The 14353-nt window shown below is 36.0% G+C and overlaps 1 annotated feature.

Moving 5' to 3' along the window:
* Positions 804 to 903: a silencer, noted in NCBI's record as "silent region_7729". NCBI's record gives its function as "represses an Ori minimal core promoter by ATAC-STARR-seq in GM12878 lymphoblastoid cells {active_cell/tissue: GM12878}" and the evidence as "EXISTENCE:reporter gene assay evidence [ECO:0000049][PMID:35858748]".

A 14353-nucleotide genomic window follows, 5' to 3' on the forward strand; every position in this document is an offset into this window, starting at 1 on the left:
TTGTCACGCTGCTAATAAAAACATACCTGTGACTGGGTAATTTATAAAGACAAAGAGGTTAACGGACTCAGAATTCCACCTGGCTAGGGAGGACTTAAAATCATGGCATAATATGGAGGAGGAACAAAGGCATGTCTTTACATGGAGGCAGGCAAAAGAGTGTGTGCAGAGGAACTGCCCTTTATAAAACCATTCAATCTCGTGAGGCTTATTTACTATCATGGGAGCAGTATAGGCAAAACCTGCGCCCATGATTCAATTATGTGCCACTGGGTCCCTCCTATGATATGTGGGGCTACAATTAAAGATGAGATTTGGGCAGGGACACAGCCAAACCATATCACCATGTACCAGACACTCTGCCAAGTACTCTACAATTATTATCTCATTTAATTTTTATGACAAGCCTTATGGGTTAGATATATTAATATTGCCAAGGGTCACGTACCCAGAAAGTAAACCCCTTGACTGTAAAGCCCCTACTCTTAGCCACAGTAACATACTGTTTACTCATTTACCACGTAAAAAGTAGGATTAAACATAACAGAAATAGTTCATGTAACCAGTTCTATCATCACTAGACCACAAGGCAGAGGACCAATGTAAATTAAGAAAGACTTGATTATACATTATCAAAACTCAGTAACTAAGCTGTAGATGTTGATGCGATGCTTTATAAGCAACTGATATAGACCAATTTAACAAGTGATTTTTTTTGTGGTAAGTAACAACCGTATAAAATAATGAAGTGACACTTATCACAAAAATATCTGCTAAAATTCATGAAGAAGAATGTTGAAAAGGACTATGCAAAAACTCAAAAGCATATAGATGATGTCATGTGCCCAGCACTCTGTATACCCTGAGGTTTTCTCTGCAGGAACTGCTCTCTCGCTTCCCTCTTTGTCCTCTTGGTCTAGCTCACTGATGTTTCCTGTCTTGTCTGGCCACTTAAAAGCCATCGGTTCTAGAGTTGTATTCCATTGTGCCTGCCACTCTGTTCACAGTAAACTCTGAAATCCATACACCTCTTGCACGGATATACCTGAATATCAGGAGTGATTTCTATTCAGCCTCTAACTTGGAGGCCTGTTATGTATAGTTTTATTTAGGCATACGCCATTTCTGGGAAGGAATGCCTACTGTTTTCATTTTCATTTTCATTTTACAGTTGAGAAAACTGAATCTGGGAGTGATTATTCCCCCCAAGGTCTGACCCAGAATGACTAGTGTTGATGGGGTTTAAATTCCTGTTTACTAATAACAAAGTCAAAGCCTTCTATGGGATAATATTACCTGGATATTGCATTCTCCCAGGACAGCTTGGTGGCACAATGTAGATTGCTTTGTTGATCTCATTCATTCAGATAGTAATTCCCGAGTTTGACAGGTAAAGATGCTGAGCTGTGAAGAGTGATGGAAGCAATGTGTGCGTATCGGTAAGGGCACAGATGGCTGCTGAAAATTATAAAATCAAGGTGCCAGGGATTATGAAGAATCATACACCGAGTATGCCAGTTCTGGCTATTCTTAAACATTAGAAACTTATGATGAATATATGAATGCATGACACTCCCTTGATCTTATTTTTTTTACTATCATATTACCATAAAATACTCCTGGCATCTGACTTACCATAAAATCTCAATAGATTCCAGTGTTATAGAATACATATAGAAAAATATTATTAATGAAAAACCACAATGACACAATAAAACATCACTAATATAGTAGCAAATTTCTTTTGGGTTATAAAAGAGCCCATTAAAGCATTTTGACTATGCTTTCTGTTGCTATGTTTTTACTTTATTTTTCTACAATTACAAAGAGAAGAAACTACTATTACCACCTACTTGAGAGGCTAGAAAGAAAAATATGTGACAGATTTTCTTCTCTTTTTTTCCATATGCAACATGCCAGTTTTATATGATTTCTGTAGATTATTGCATTGTTGTTAAAACTTTTTCTTATAAACCATTGCAAAATTATCACACGATACAAAAATGTTAATTCAAAAGAAACGAAAAGCACTAATATTACCCAGTCCATAAACTTCCTAGTTGATCTCTTTTTATTCATTTAAACAAAGTCAAGTGTTTTTTTTCTTCCTTATTATTAGTTATATGGTTAATAAGTCAGTCACACAGTTCTGAAAAGGTCCATAGAAAAACATTCCTTCATGTTGAAGGTGATGCACTAATTATATGTACTTCTTGCCCTCCATCTGAAGCAGCTACGTGGATACAGATTTTAGACCCTTAGGCTTCAATTAAAATATTCAGTATTCAATAATATTTATTGAAACAATTTTAAGGTAAGAAAGTCCCTTTTAATGTCTTTCTGTAAATGGGAGATAAAATGTATCAGCTCAGTTATTAATTGGTAAACCACAAGGTAGTTAACTCTATGAGATTCAATTTTTTTTTTGCACAAGAATAGCCTAATAGTTTGTTCCGAGGGCTGTATTAGGCAAAGAGTTCTCAGATATGACACTAAAAACACAATCCATAGAAGAAAAATGACTAAATCTGACTTCAGACTTTAAGGAGTAAGACAAGTAACAGATAGGAATAAACTATTTGTAAATTGTTTATCTGATAAATGATTTGTATCAAGAATATCTAAAGAACTGTCATAACTCAACAATCAAAAAACCAAAATATTCCATTTAAAAATTGGGGGAGAAAGGAAATGGAGAGTGACTGTTAATAGGTACATGGTTTTCTGGGGAGATGATAACATGTTCTGAAAATAGATTATGACGATGGTTGCACTAGTATGTAAATGAGTTGCATACTTAATGGATGAACTTTATCATGTAAATAACATTTCAATAAACTGTTAGAAATGGGCAAAATATTTGAATAGACATTTCATAAAAAAGATACGTGAATGACAAATAAATATGAAAAGATATTAAACAAATTAGTCATTAGAAAATTGCAAATTAAAACTGCAATGAAATAACACTTTATATTCATTATAACAAGCATTGACAAGCATGTGGAGAAAATGGAATTTTGAAACATTACTTTTGAAAATGTAAAATGGTGCAACTATTTAGTAAAATAGTTTAACATTTTTTAAAAAGTTAAATAAGAGGTTGAGCGCAGTGGCTCATGCCTGTAATTCCAACACTTTGGGAGGCAGAAGTGGGTTGATCACTTGAGCCCAGGAATTTGGGACCAGCCTGGGCAAAATGGTGAAACCCTGACTCTAAAAAAATGCAAAAATTAGCCTGGCACCTGTAGTCCCAGCTACTTGGGAGGCTAAGGCAGGGGGATTGCTTCAGCCAAGAGGTCAAGATTGCAGTGAGCTGTGATTGTGGCACTGTACTCTAGTCTGGGTGACAGAGCAAGACCCTGTCTCAAAAAAAAAAAAAGTTAAATAAGAACATATACAACCCGGTGATTCCATCTTAGGTATCTGCCCAAGAGAAATTAAAACGTGTTAACTAAAGACTTGTATTTGAATGTCCATAGCAGCATTATTCCTAATAGACAAAAGGTGAGAACAATAAAAATTTTCATTAACTGATGAATGGATACACAAAATAATGGAAACTAAATACTAATACATGCTAAAACATGAATGAACCTCAAAACATTATGATAAGTAAAAATAAAACCAGGCCCCAAAAGAGTACGTGTTGTGTGATTCCATACATAAAATACCTAGAAAAGTCAAATTTATACAGACAACATCCGATTCGTGACTGCCTGGGCTTGGGTGGAAATAGAGATTGAATGCAAATGGGTGACATTTTCAGGTGACAGAAATGTTCTAAAACTGGATAGTGGAATGGTTGTAGGTCTCTGGAAATTTATGAAAAATAATTGAATTGTGCATTCAAAATATGTGAAATTTAACAGCATGTAAATGACACTTCAATAGACATGTTTTCAAAAATTAAAAAGGAAATAAAAATAAACTGGAAGAATTATTTAAAACATTTACCAGGAAAAGTATTCATCATATAATTTTGTAGGTATTTAGAAGAAAACTTCACTGTAATTCAAAAATCTCTCTCTGTATGTGTATATGTGTGTGTATGATTAATAGTTTTATGCTAATATGTTATTACTCATACATTTCTACAGTAGTACTGCTAGTTAAATAATGGAAACCTCTTAAGAATAATTACAAACTAGAGTGAGTTATTTTTAAAGTAATGAATTCAGAAGATCTTATATCATAGTATTGACCACTTACCATCCTTGTCATATAACCATTGGGTTGGTAGAATGATCAATTAAGCATCCTCCTGAACATATTTTCAGGGTTACGGGTTAAGTAATTTCTATTATTTTTTAAAAAAGTATCTATATACACCAACTATGTACCCCCCAAAATAAAATAGAAAAAAAATTAAAAAATAATAAATACCTGTTTATCAAAATGAGATTGCTCATTTTTCTTTTATTCTTTATTGTTAATGGTAAGAAGGATAAAAATTTGGAAGACATTGTGTTCATAATTAAGTATTCTTCTTCCTTGAATTGTATTTTACTTCTGAAATTAATTCCTGTGAGATGTCAAGAATAGCTAAGAGTAGACATGTGTAACAAAAATGTAATCTTGGTGATTTTCTGAGACCCAAGAGACTGCTTTGGAAGGCTTTAGAGGTCATTCTCAAGGTGAGGAGAAAGGATCTGATGCTGAGAGCCCCATCTTGAGCCATGTGGAGAACTCATACCTACAGTGCCTGTGGTTGTGTGTCAGAAGACTATGGAGGAGGCATGTGTATTAGTTCTCCCACTGCTATAAGGACACACCTGAGACTGGGTAATTTATAAAGGAAGGAGGTTTAGTTGAGTCACAGTTCCACAGGGCTGGGGAGCCCTCAGGAAACTTACAATCACCATGGAAGGGGAAGCAAACATATCCTTCTTCACATGGTGACAGGAAGGAGAAGAATGGGTGCCCAGCGAAGGGGGAAGCTCCTTATGAAACCATTAGATCTCATGAGAACTAACTCACTATCATGAGAACAGGATGGGGAAAACTGCCCCCATGATTCAATTATCTCCACCTGGTCCCTCCCATGACATGTGGGGATTATGGGAACTACAATTCAAGATGAGATTTGGGTGGGGACACAGCCAAATGATATCAGAATATAATTTGACACGTCTCATAAACTATGCCTTCCCTTTGCAACCACCACTCTATCTCTGCTTATCTAATTTTTCAAAAAGTGAAAATAATCCATCTTATCGGGAACATTTCATTATTCCCCTTGGGAGAAAAGTCCCATTGTTTTCTTGTTATAATGGCAACCCAGAAATACCCTAGAAATGTATGGTCTATTGAAATGCTTCTGGGATTGAGTATTCCACGTGGTACAGTCTATGCCTCCACATATCACTGCTTCTCCTAACATCCTTTTCTTAAGCTGATGAACTTGCAAGTCAATTGTGTGTGCTTTGGTGACTTTCTAACATCAACAATACATATTCCTTAAAAAGTTGATAGCTAAATATACCTTAACTTTATAGTGAAAGGGCACATTATCGAAATTGGGTAGTACATCTATTTTATGAAGTTTGTTAGAATTCTATAAGAATAGAAGAACATTTTCGTGAGCCAAAACTATTTTGTATGCAATTTTCTGGCAATTTTCTATTATGTGTAGATGTGCTGTATACAATGAGTAAGAATAGCAGATTCAGCTAAATTCTTGCTAGGATAACATAACAGGGCCCATCAGTCACTATGCTTTAATTGCTGCAGGTAACAGCCACCTAAGGCAGGAATAAATTATGCCCAATTGTTAAGAGCAATTATATGCCTTATCAGCTGGTCAGCAACAAGAGACTGGAATATATGGACCATTAATCTGTATGTGAGCAGCTGTTGTAATGTCCCTCCCAGAAAGAAAGTGAGAGACCTCTTGGCCTACCTTGTCAATCACCGGCAAATTAAAAACAACTTAACTGTCATATTCTATATTTATGTATTACAGATCTTTTTTTTAGGGAAGATTAGCTTGGATAATACATGTGCATTATCTTTAAAACCAATCAAGTTTTAGAGCCTTTGCCCTCCATATTTTCTCATATTCTGTAACTGAAGCATTTTAGGGAAAACAGGGCTTAAACATAGGAGATTCTACAAGCCATCATAGACCTTTATTCTTTATTTTCCTATATTGGTTTGCTTACTTTTGTATTTCAGCCTTGATCCTAAGAACATAAGAAATCGATTAAAAATATAACTAAACAAATACATACTTTAGGGATGATGGTGGTACATATTCTATTTTAAATACATATTTTAGGAAAAATGGAAACATATAGGTAGAAAAAAATGATGAAACCAAGGAGGATAGTTGCTAAATTTATTAACCAAAGTTCTGTATATTTTCTAAGTTTTCAAATTATATTTTAGAAAGTTTACCATAAACTGACATGATTTTACAGCAGCAAAGGCAAGGATAGAAATGATTCATACTGTCTTTGTGACAAAAACAATCAGATGATAGGAAAAACACAGTATCTAATATTGCCACTGGAAAGAAATTCATCATGAAGAAACCATTGTGTTATGTAGTGAATAACATCATCAATAGCATTCTTATCTGTGAATACTGAGAGCATCCTGACTTTCTTATATTTTTATTTCTTATAACATCACTCAGTCAGGAGATGGCATACTACCAAAAAGTTGTTAGGTAAAATAATTGGTTCTAGGGAACACCTGGAAGGCAGACCATGTTTCTAATGTACTGTAAGGGAAGGAATTGGCAAAAAGAACCTCAGTAATGCATGTTGGCTAAGTATTACAAGGAAAATATGAGCTCAGGGAAGGACTGGCTGTTGCCCATGCAGAAAAAGACTGTGTATTACACGGATAGGAGCTGAATCTAGGGGCTGAGTGACCTTTATGTTGACCCCTTTGGAAAGAATGAGGTTTTTTTTTAATGTTTGTGAGGAAGAGCCAAGTGGGTAATTGAATGTGAAAAATATGGACTGTGGCAGAAACTGGCAAGATAATCCCTGATCACATTGTTTCTAAAAATATGGGAAGAGCAGCGTGTTGCAATCTCCTATGCAGGAAGAGTGTAGCCATGGGACTAGTTCTGGACAGTGGAATGTAGCAAGAGGTAATACGTATCATTTCTAGGCACTGGCCCTGAAATATTTTGTGTGAGCCTATGCAAGCACTTCCTGTCTCCTGTTTCTGTTGTCCATATCCTTTAAGGTGGGCACAGGTGAAAGAAGCCTGGATAACTGAGAAATCATATAGGAGGGGATAGCCAGCCAATGCACATCCAATTGCAATGTGAGTTGGAGGGGATTACCTTGACTAATTCAGGTAATTTAAAAAATAGTTGTACTAAGAAGAAATAAACCAGAGGCAAAATTTATCAATCCTCATGTAGTTTATTATCATTATTTAGTCTAACATTATTTATCACTTTTTTTTATGTGAGGTGTTATTTCAAACTTACTTTAAATTTTCTTCCCTCTATCATCATCAGAGTTTTCTGTGGTTTCAATATTTGGAAGGAACAGATATTTGAAGTGACCTATACAAGTCACAGGCTCCAACAGAAATTATCTGTTGGCTTGCCTTTTTTTTAAAGTACAGATTGATTTGGTAGCTTTTTGATGGTGTCAATTATTGTGTTCTATTATTAAATATTATATACTATATTATATTTATAATTATATTTTCCTACATAACAATCCATTTCATCAACATTTTCAAGCTTATTTGCACAGAAGTTAAGCAATGTATTGTTGCCACACAGTATGTGATGAACATTTTGACTGGAAAGGCCTGCCTTTGCCATTTTTAAGTGGAGTCTCACTCTGTCACCCAGGCTGGAGTGTAGTGACATGATCTCAGCTCACCGCAACCTCTGCCTCCCGGGTTCAAACGATTCTCTTGCCTCAGCCTCCCAAGTAGCTGGGACTACAGGCTGCTGTAGTAGCCACCACACCCGGCTAATTTTTGTGTTTTTAGTAGAGACAGGGTTTCACCATGTTGGCTGGGCTGGTCTTGAACTCCTGACCTCAGGTGATCTGCTCGCCTCGGCCTCCCAAAGTGCTGTGATTACAGGCGTGTGCCACTGCACCCAGCTGCCATTTTTTAATCTGTATAAAATTGGTAGGCCACTTGAATCCTGGAGTGACTGAAAATGTCTTTGTTCCTCAGTTTCTTCACTTTTGATAAATAAGGGTAACATTAATAATCTATCACATTTATTATGAAATTAAATACACATATAAAGTGCTTAGAACCCAGTAAAAGGTTACTATATTTTAAATGGTATTACTATGCCTTAACATCTGTTCTGGTTTTTCTATTTGTGTGCCTTGTTGTGTACATTTGCTCTTTTTCCATTTAAAAAAATGTATCTACATATCTTCATGTGTACATATGTTTGTATGTATTTATACTGGAGTCATTTCCCATTCCCACAGCTACTTGTCTAGCCAGATGGAAGCACTTCTTTCACAGCCTGTGGCAAACGGTGGATGGGTTGGGAGTGGATGTAGGGGGATGTTGACAGGGGAAGAAGCAGAATGTTTGGTTTGGCTGGCAGGTCCTATTGTGGGTTCCTTACTGATTCCCACTGATCTTTGAATCCTTGAATTGGGGAGGATACACTTTTGGTGGAGCAGGCTAAAAGAGAAATAGGAGAATGTGACAAAGATGAGCTACACTTAAGATGAACTACACTTAAGTTTTAGAATTTGAATAGCATAAATTCTTAAGATGCATGTTAGAGAAAGAGTAATTGGAGGGAAGAGAGTATGAGATATTAAAAGTGGCTCGGTGCAGTAGCTCATGCCTGTAGTCCCAGCACTTTGGGAGGGCAAGGAGGGTGTGTTGCTTGAAGCCAGGAATTCGAGATCAGCCTGGACAACATGGTGAAACTTCATCCTACCAAAAATACAAAAATCAGCCAGGTGTGGTGGCATGCACCTGTAATCCCAGCTACTCTGGTGGCTGAGACAGAAGAATCACTTTAACTCAGGAGGCGGAGGTTGCAGTGAGCCGAGATCGTGCCATTGCACTCCAGCCTGGGTGACAAAGTGAGACCCTATCTCAAAAAAAAAAAAAAACAAAGAAAGAAAGAAAGAAAGAAAGAAAGAAAGAAAGAAAGAAAGAAAGAAAGAAAGAAAGAAAGAAAGAAAGAAAGAAAGAAAAAAGATGTTAAGGTCTACGGTGATGGGTTTGGATTATTGGTATTTTAAGAATAACACATTTAATGAACTACAGTCTTCATTGAGAAATTAAAAACAAAAATCACTCTAATTTGTCTTCGTTGGTAATGATACACAAAACAAAGTATTTTAAGAAGTAAGAGTTTTTATAAAGATCAGGACAACAAGCTCTCTATAGTAGTAAGATAATATTAAAAATTGATAGAATATTTCCAGCTCTCTATTTATTATCTGTATAACCTTAAGCAAGTCCTCTAACATCTCTGAGTCTTTCTCTCTTCATTAGCAAAAAAGTAAAACTAACAATTTTAATGGAATCTTGAGTCACTATATAAAAGTACTATATATGGTACCTAGAGGACAATAGGAGTTTAATACATATTATGTTAGTACTGTTTTCCTTTCTTGATTATCCTTATCTTTTATAGATAAAATAAAAATGAATGTAATGAACAAAACTTAGTTGTATTATATATTGTAGGAATGTGTAAGAAAATAATTAGTGAGCTATTAATGAAATTATTATTCCAACTGAAATAGAGACCATGGCATAAACGCTGAAAGGCAGAAACTATATAAAAACAATTAGTGGGCCAGGCACATTGGCTCACGCCTGTAATCCTAGCACTTTGGGAGGCCAGGGCGGGTGGATCCGCTGAGGTCAGGAGTTCAAGACCAGCCTGGCCAACATGGTGAAACCCCATCTGTACTAAAAGTACAAAAATTAGCTGGGTGTGGTGATGTGTGCCTGTAATCCTAGCTACTTGGGAGGCTGAGGCAGGAGAATCACTTGAACCTGGGAGGCAGAGGTTGCAGTGAGCTGAGATCACACCATTGCACTCCAGCCTGGGCAACAAGAGCGAAACTCCATCCCAAAAAAAAAAAAAAATTAGTATGTGGTTACAGGCAGGGTTTTAGTTTGTTTTTCAGATTCAGAATGTATGAATATGCATAAGGCCATCAATATCTGAAAATAATATATGTAATATATATTTATATATTATATATAAATTATATATGATTTATATATTATTAAATATAATTTATATATTTATGTGTGTGTGTATATATATATGTGTGTGTATATATATATATGTGTATGTGTATATATATATATATATATATATATATATATATATATATATCAGTTGAAGTATGTTTTCCATAAAGAAAACAATTGTAGGCTGACACAGTGGCTCATACCCATAATCCCAGCACTTTGGAAGGCCAAGGTGGGTGGATTGCTCAAGCCTAGGAGTTCAAGACCAGCCTGGACAATATAGTAAGACCCTGTCTCTACAAAAAATACAAAAACTAGCTGGGTGTGGTGGCACATACTTGTAGTCCCAGATACTCAGGAGGCTGAGGTGGGAGGATCACTTGAGCCCAGGAGCTGGGGGTTGCAGTGAGTCAAGATTATGCTATTGCATTCCAACCTGAGCAACAGAATGAGAAGACTGTCTCGAAACAGAAAATATAAATGCAATTGTAGTAATAGAATACACAGAATCTTTTTTGGGAGAAAGCATTCTGAATAGAAAAAAAATCTGTCAGAAATATTTTAGGTACATAGAATTTTCCAAAATAACTTTTTAATATATAATTTCTAAAACTGTATTATAGTAAATGTATATTTACTTACATAATTTTAAGTGATATACTAAAGTGAAAGGAAAATAAGATAATTTAGTTATCAAATCTCTTTTATTATATCTTTAAAAAAGTGGTATATTCACTGGCATTTATAGTTTTTCTTTCAGTTTGTGTTATTCAGCCTTTTTTTCTTTCAATTTATTAAGGTTTAACTGACATAAAAACTGTATTTATTTAAGTTGTACAACATGATGTTTTGCTATATGTGTACATTGTACAATTATTACATCATGCTAATTAACATATTCCTCACCTCATATACTTATTTTTTTGTGGTGAGAACATTTAAGATCTACCATATGAGGAGAGAGTTTCAAGATGGCTGACTAGATGCATCTGGGAAGTGCCACACCCACTGAGAGAGACCAGGATTTTGGCTAAACCAACATAATTTGAACATATCTTTGGAGAGAAAATGCCAAGTGTGGATGGAGAAAAGAAGTAAACCTGAGGCTGAAGAGGGAGGGAACTGAGGTGCTTGAACACTATGGCTGGTTCCTAGCCCTTAACAGTGCCTGCGGAAGAGATGAGTGAAGAGACTGGGGTAGGCTTCCCACTCTCACTGTGGACCTCTGGGATCCTAGCTACAGGGAAACCCACACCCACCATGGACATGTGAGCTTGTAGGATCTCCCTAGAGATTAGATAGAGATGGGTCTTCAGCAGGCATAGTGCCAGGGACACCAAAAAACTGCTAATTCTCTACCCTGTGAAACCAAGGGCAAGAATCTAACAACAAAGACCCTGTATAGAGACTTAGCCCTCTGAAAACTCCCAGAAATGAAGCCACCAACTGACTACTCGATTTACACCACAGTTAAATGAACACCAACCCTCCTAGATAAGAAAAAAATCAGTGCAAGGACTCTGGCAATTCAAAAAGCCAGAGTATCTTCTTACTTCCAAACTAGCCCAATCACTCCCCAGCAATGGTTCCTAACCGGTCTGAAATGACTGAAATTACAGACATGGAATCCAGCATCTGGATGGCAAGGAAGCTCATGGAGATCCAGGAGAAAGTTGAAACTTAATCCAACGGAGCCAAGCAATCCAGTGAAATAATTCAAGTGCTGAGAGACAAAATAGCCATTTAAAGAAAGACCTAAACTGAACCTCTTGAGCTGAAAAATTTACTACAAGAATTTCATAATACAATCCGAAGGACTGACAGCAGAATAGACAAAGTTGAGGAAAGAATTACAGAACGTGAAGACCAGTTGTTCAAATCAACTCATTCAGACAAAAATAAAGAAAAAAGAGTTAAGAAAGATGAACAAGGCTCTGAGAAATATGGGATTATGTAAAGAGACCAAATCATAAGTCACTGGCATCCCTGAGAGAGAAGGAGAGAGAATACGCAACTTGGAAAATATATTTGAGGAAAGAGTCCATGAAAATTTTTCTAATTCTGCTAGAGAGGTTGACAGGCAAATTCAAGAAATACAGAGAACCCCAGCTAGATACTATACAGGATGACTATCCCCAAGGTCCATATAAATCAGATTCACCAAGGTCAACACAAAAGAAAAAATCTTAAAGGCAGCTAGGGAGAAGGGTCAGGATATACACAGGGAACCCCATCAGACCAGCAGCAAATTTCTCAGCAGAAATCTTATCAGCTAGAAGAGATTGGGGATCTATTTTTAGCATCCTCAAAGAAAACAAATTCTAATAAAAAATTTTATACCCTTGCCAAACTCAGTTTCATAAGTAAAAGAGAAATAAAATCCTTCTCAGAAAAGCAAATGATGAGGGAATTTGTTTCAACTAGACCAGTCTTACAAGAGGTCTTTATGGGAGAGCTAAACATGGAATTAAAAGAACGGCACCTGCTACTATAAATAATTAAGTGCAAAGCCTGTAGTATAAAGCAACTACACAACCAAGTCTACAAAATGGCTTATAACATGATGACACAGGCAAACTCTTACATATCAATACTAGTGCTGAATGTAAATGAACACCCCATTTAAAAAACACAGAGTGACAAGTTGCATAAAAAGACAAGACCAAGCCATCTACTGTCTTCAAGAGAACCATTTCACATGTAGCAACACCAACAGGCTCAAAATAAAGGTTGAAGAAAGATCTACTATGCAAATGGAAAAAAAAAGAGTAAGAGTCACTATTCTTATGTCAATTAAATGGGCTTTAAACCTTTAAAAACTAAGAAGGAAAAAAGGAGGTCATTATGTAATGATAAAGGGTTCAATTCAACAAGAAGGCTGAACTATCCTAAGTATAAACACATCCAGCATTGGAGCACCCAGATTCATAAAACAAGTTCTTTGTGACTTACAAAGAGACTTAGCCACACAGTATTAGTGGGAGACTTCAACACCCCACTGACAGTGTTAGACAGATCATTGAGGCAGAAAACTAACAAACAGCTGGGCACAGTGGCTCACTCCTCTAATCCTAGCACTTTGGGAGGCCGAGGTGGGTGGATTAGGAGGTCAGGAGATCAAGACCATCCTGGCTAACACGGTGAAACTCCGTCTGTACTAAAAATAGAAAAAAAAATTAGTCAGGTATGGTGGCATGCACCTGTAGTCCCAGCTACTCGGGAGACTGAGACAGGAGAATCACTTGAACCCGGGAGGTGGAGGTTGCAGTGAGCTGAGATCACTCCACTGCACTCCAGCCTCAAAACAACAACAACAATAACAACAACAACAAACTAACACAGAAACTCTAGACTTAAGCTCGACACTTGACCATTATGACATAAGAGACATCTACAGAACACTTCACCCAACAACCATATACATTCTCATCTGCACACAGAGCATATTCTAAGATTGACTACAGGTTGGGTCATCAAATAAGTCTCAAATTAAAAAAATCAAAATCATATCAAGCATTCTCTTGGACCACAGTGCAATAAAAATAGAAATTGATGTAAAGTAGGTCTTTCAAAACTACACAAATACATGGGAATTAAATTACTCCTCTATAACTACTAGGAAAACATCAAAATTAGTGCACGTTTCAAAAAATTCTTTTAAATTAATGAAAATAGAGACACAACTTACCAAAATCTCTGGAATGCAGCTAAAGCAGTGTTAAGAGGAAAGTTTATACTGCTAAACAACTTCATCAAGAATCGAGACAGTTCTCAAATTAACAATCTGTCTTTGTTCCTAAAGGAACTAGAAGAAAAAGAAAGAACCATTCCCAAAACTAGCAGAAGAAAATAAATAACTAAAATTAGAGAAGAACTGAATGAAATTGAGACACAAAAATCCATACCCACTCGCTTGCTATAGAAGCAACATACAATTCTGCCATTTACAAAGATTAAAAAAAAACTAAAAGATTGTTCTTAAAGCTTATTTTGTTCTTTTTTTTTGATCCTTCTTTTAATAAGCCTCTTTACCCCTTTAGCTCTGTGGACCAAATCAGAGGTATATCAATCCAGAAATGCATAAAAAAAAGCTGTTTCATGACCAAGTGAGGTACATTTGAAGGCATACAAGATTGTTCTGATATTAAAAATTATTTGAAGTTTTAAAAAATCA

The sequence above is a fragment of the Homo sapiens genome, chromosome 16 (genome assembly GCF_000001405.40).
Source record: "Homo sapiens chromosome 16, GRCh38.p14 Primary Assembly".
Classification (NCBI taxonomy): domain Eukaryota; kingdom Metazoa; phylum Chordata; class Mammalia; order Primates; family Hominidae; genus Homo; species Homo sapiens.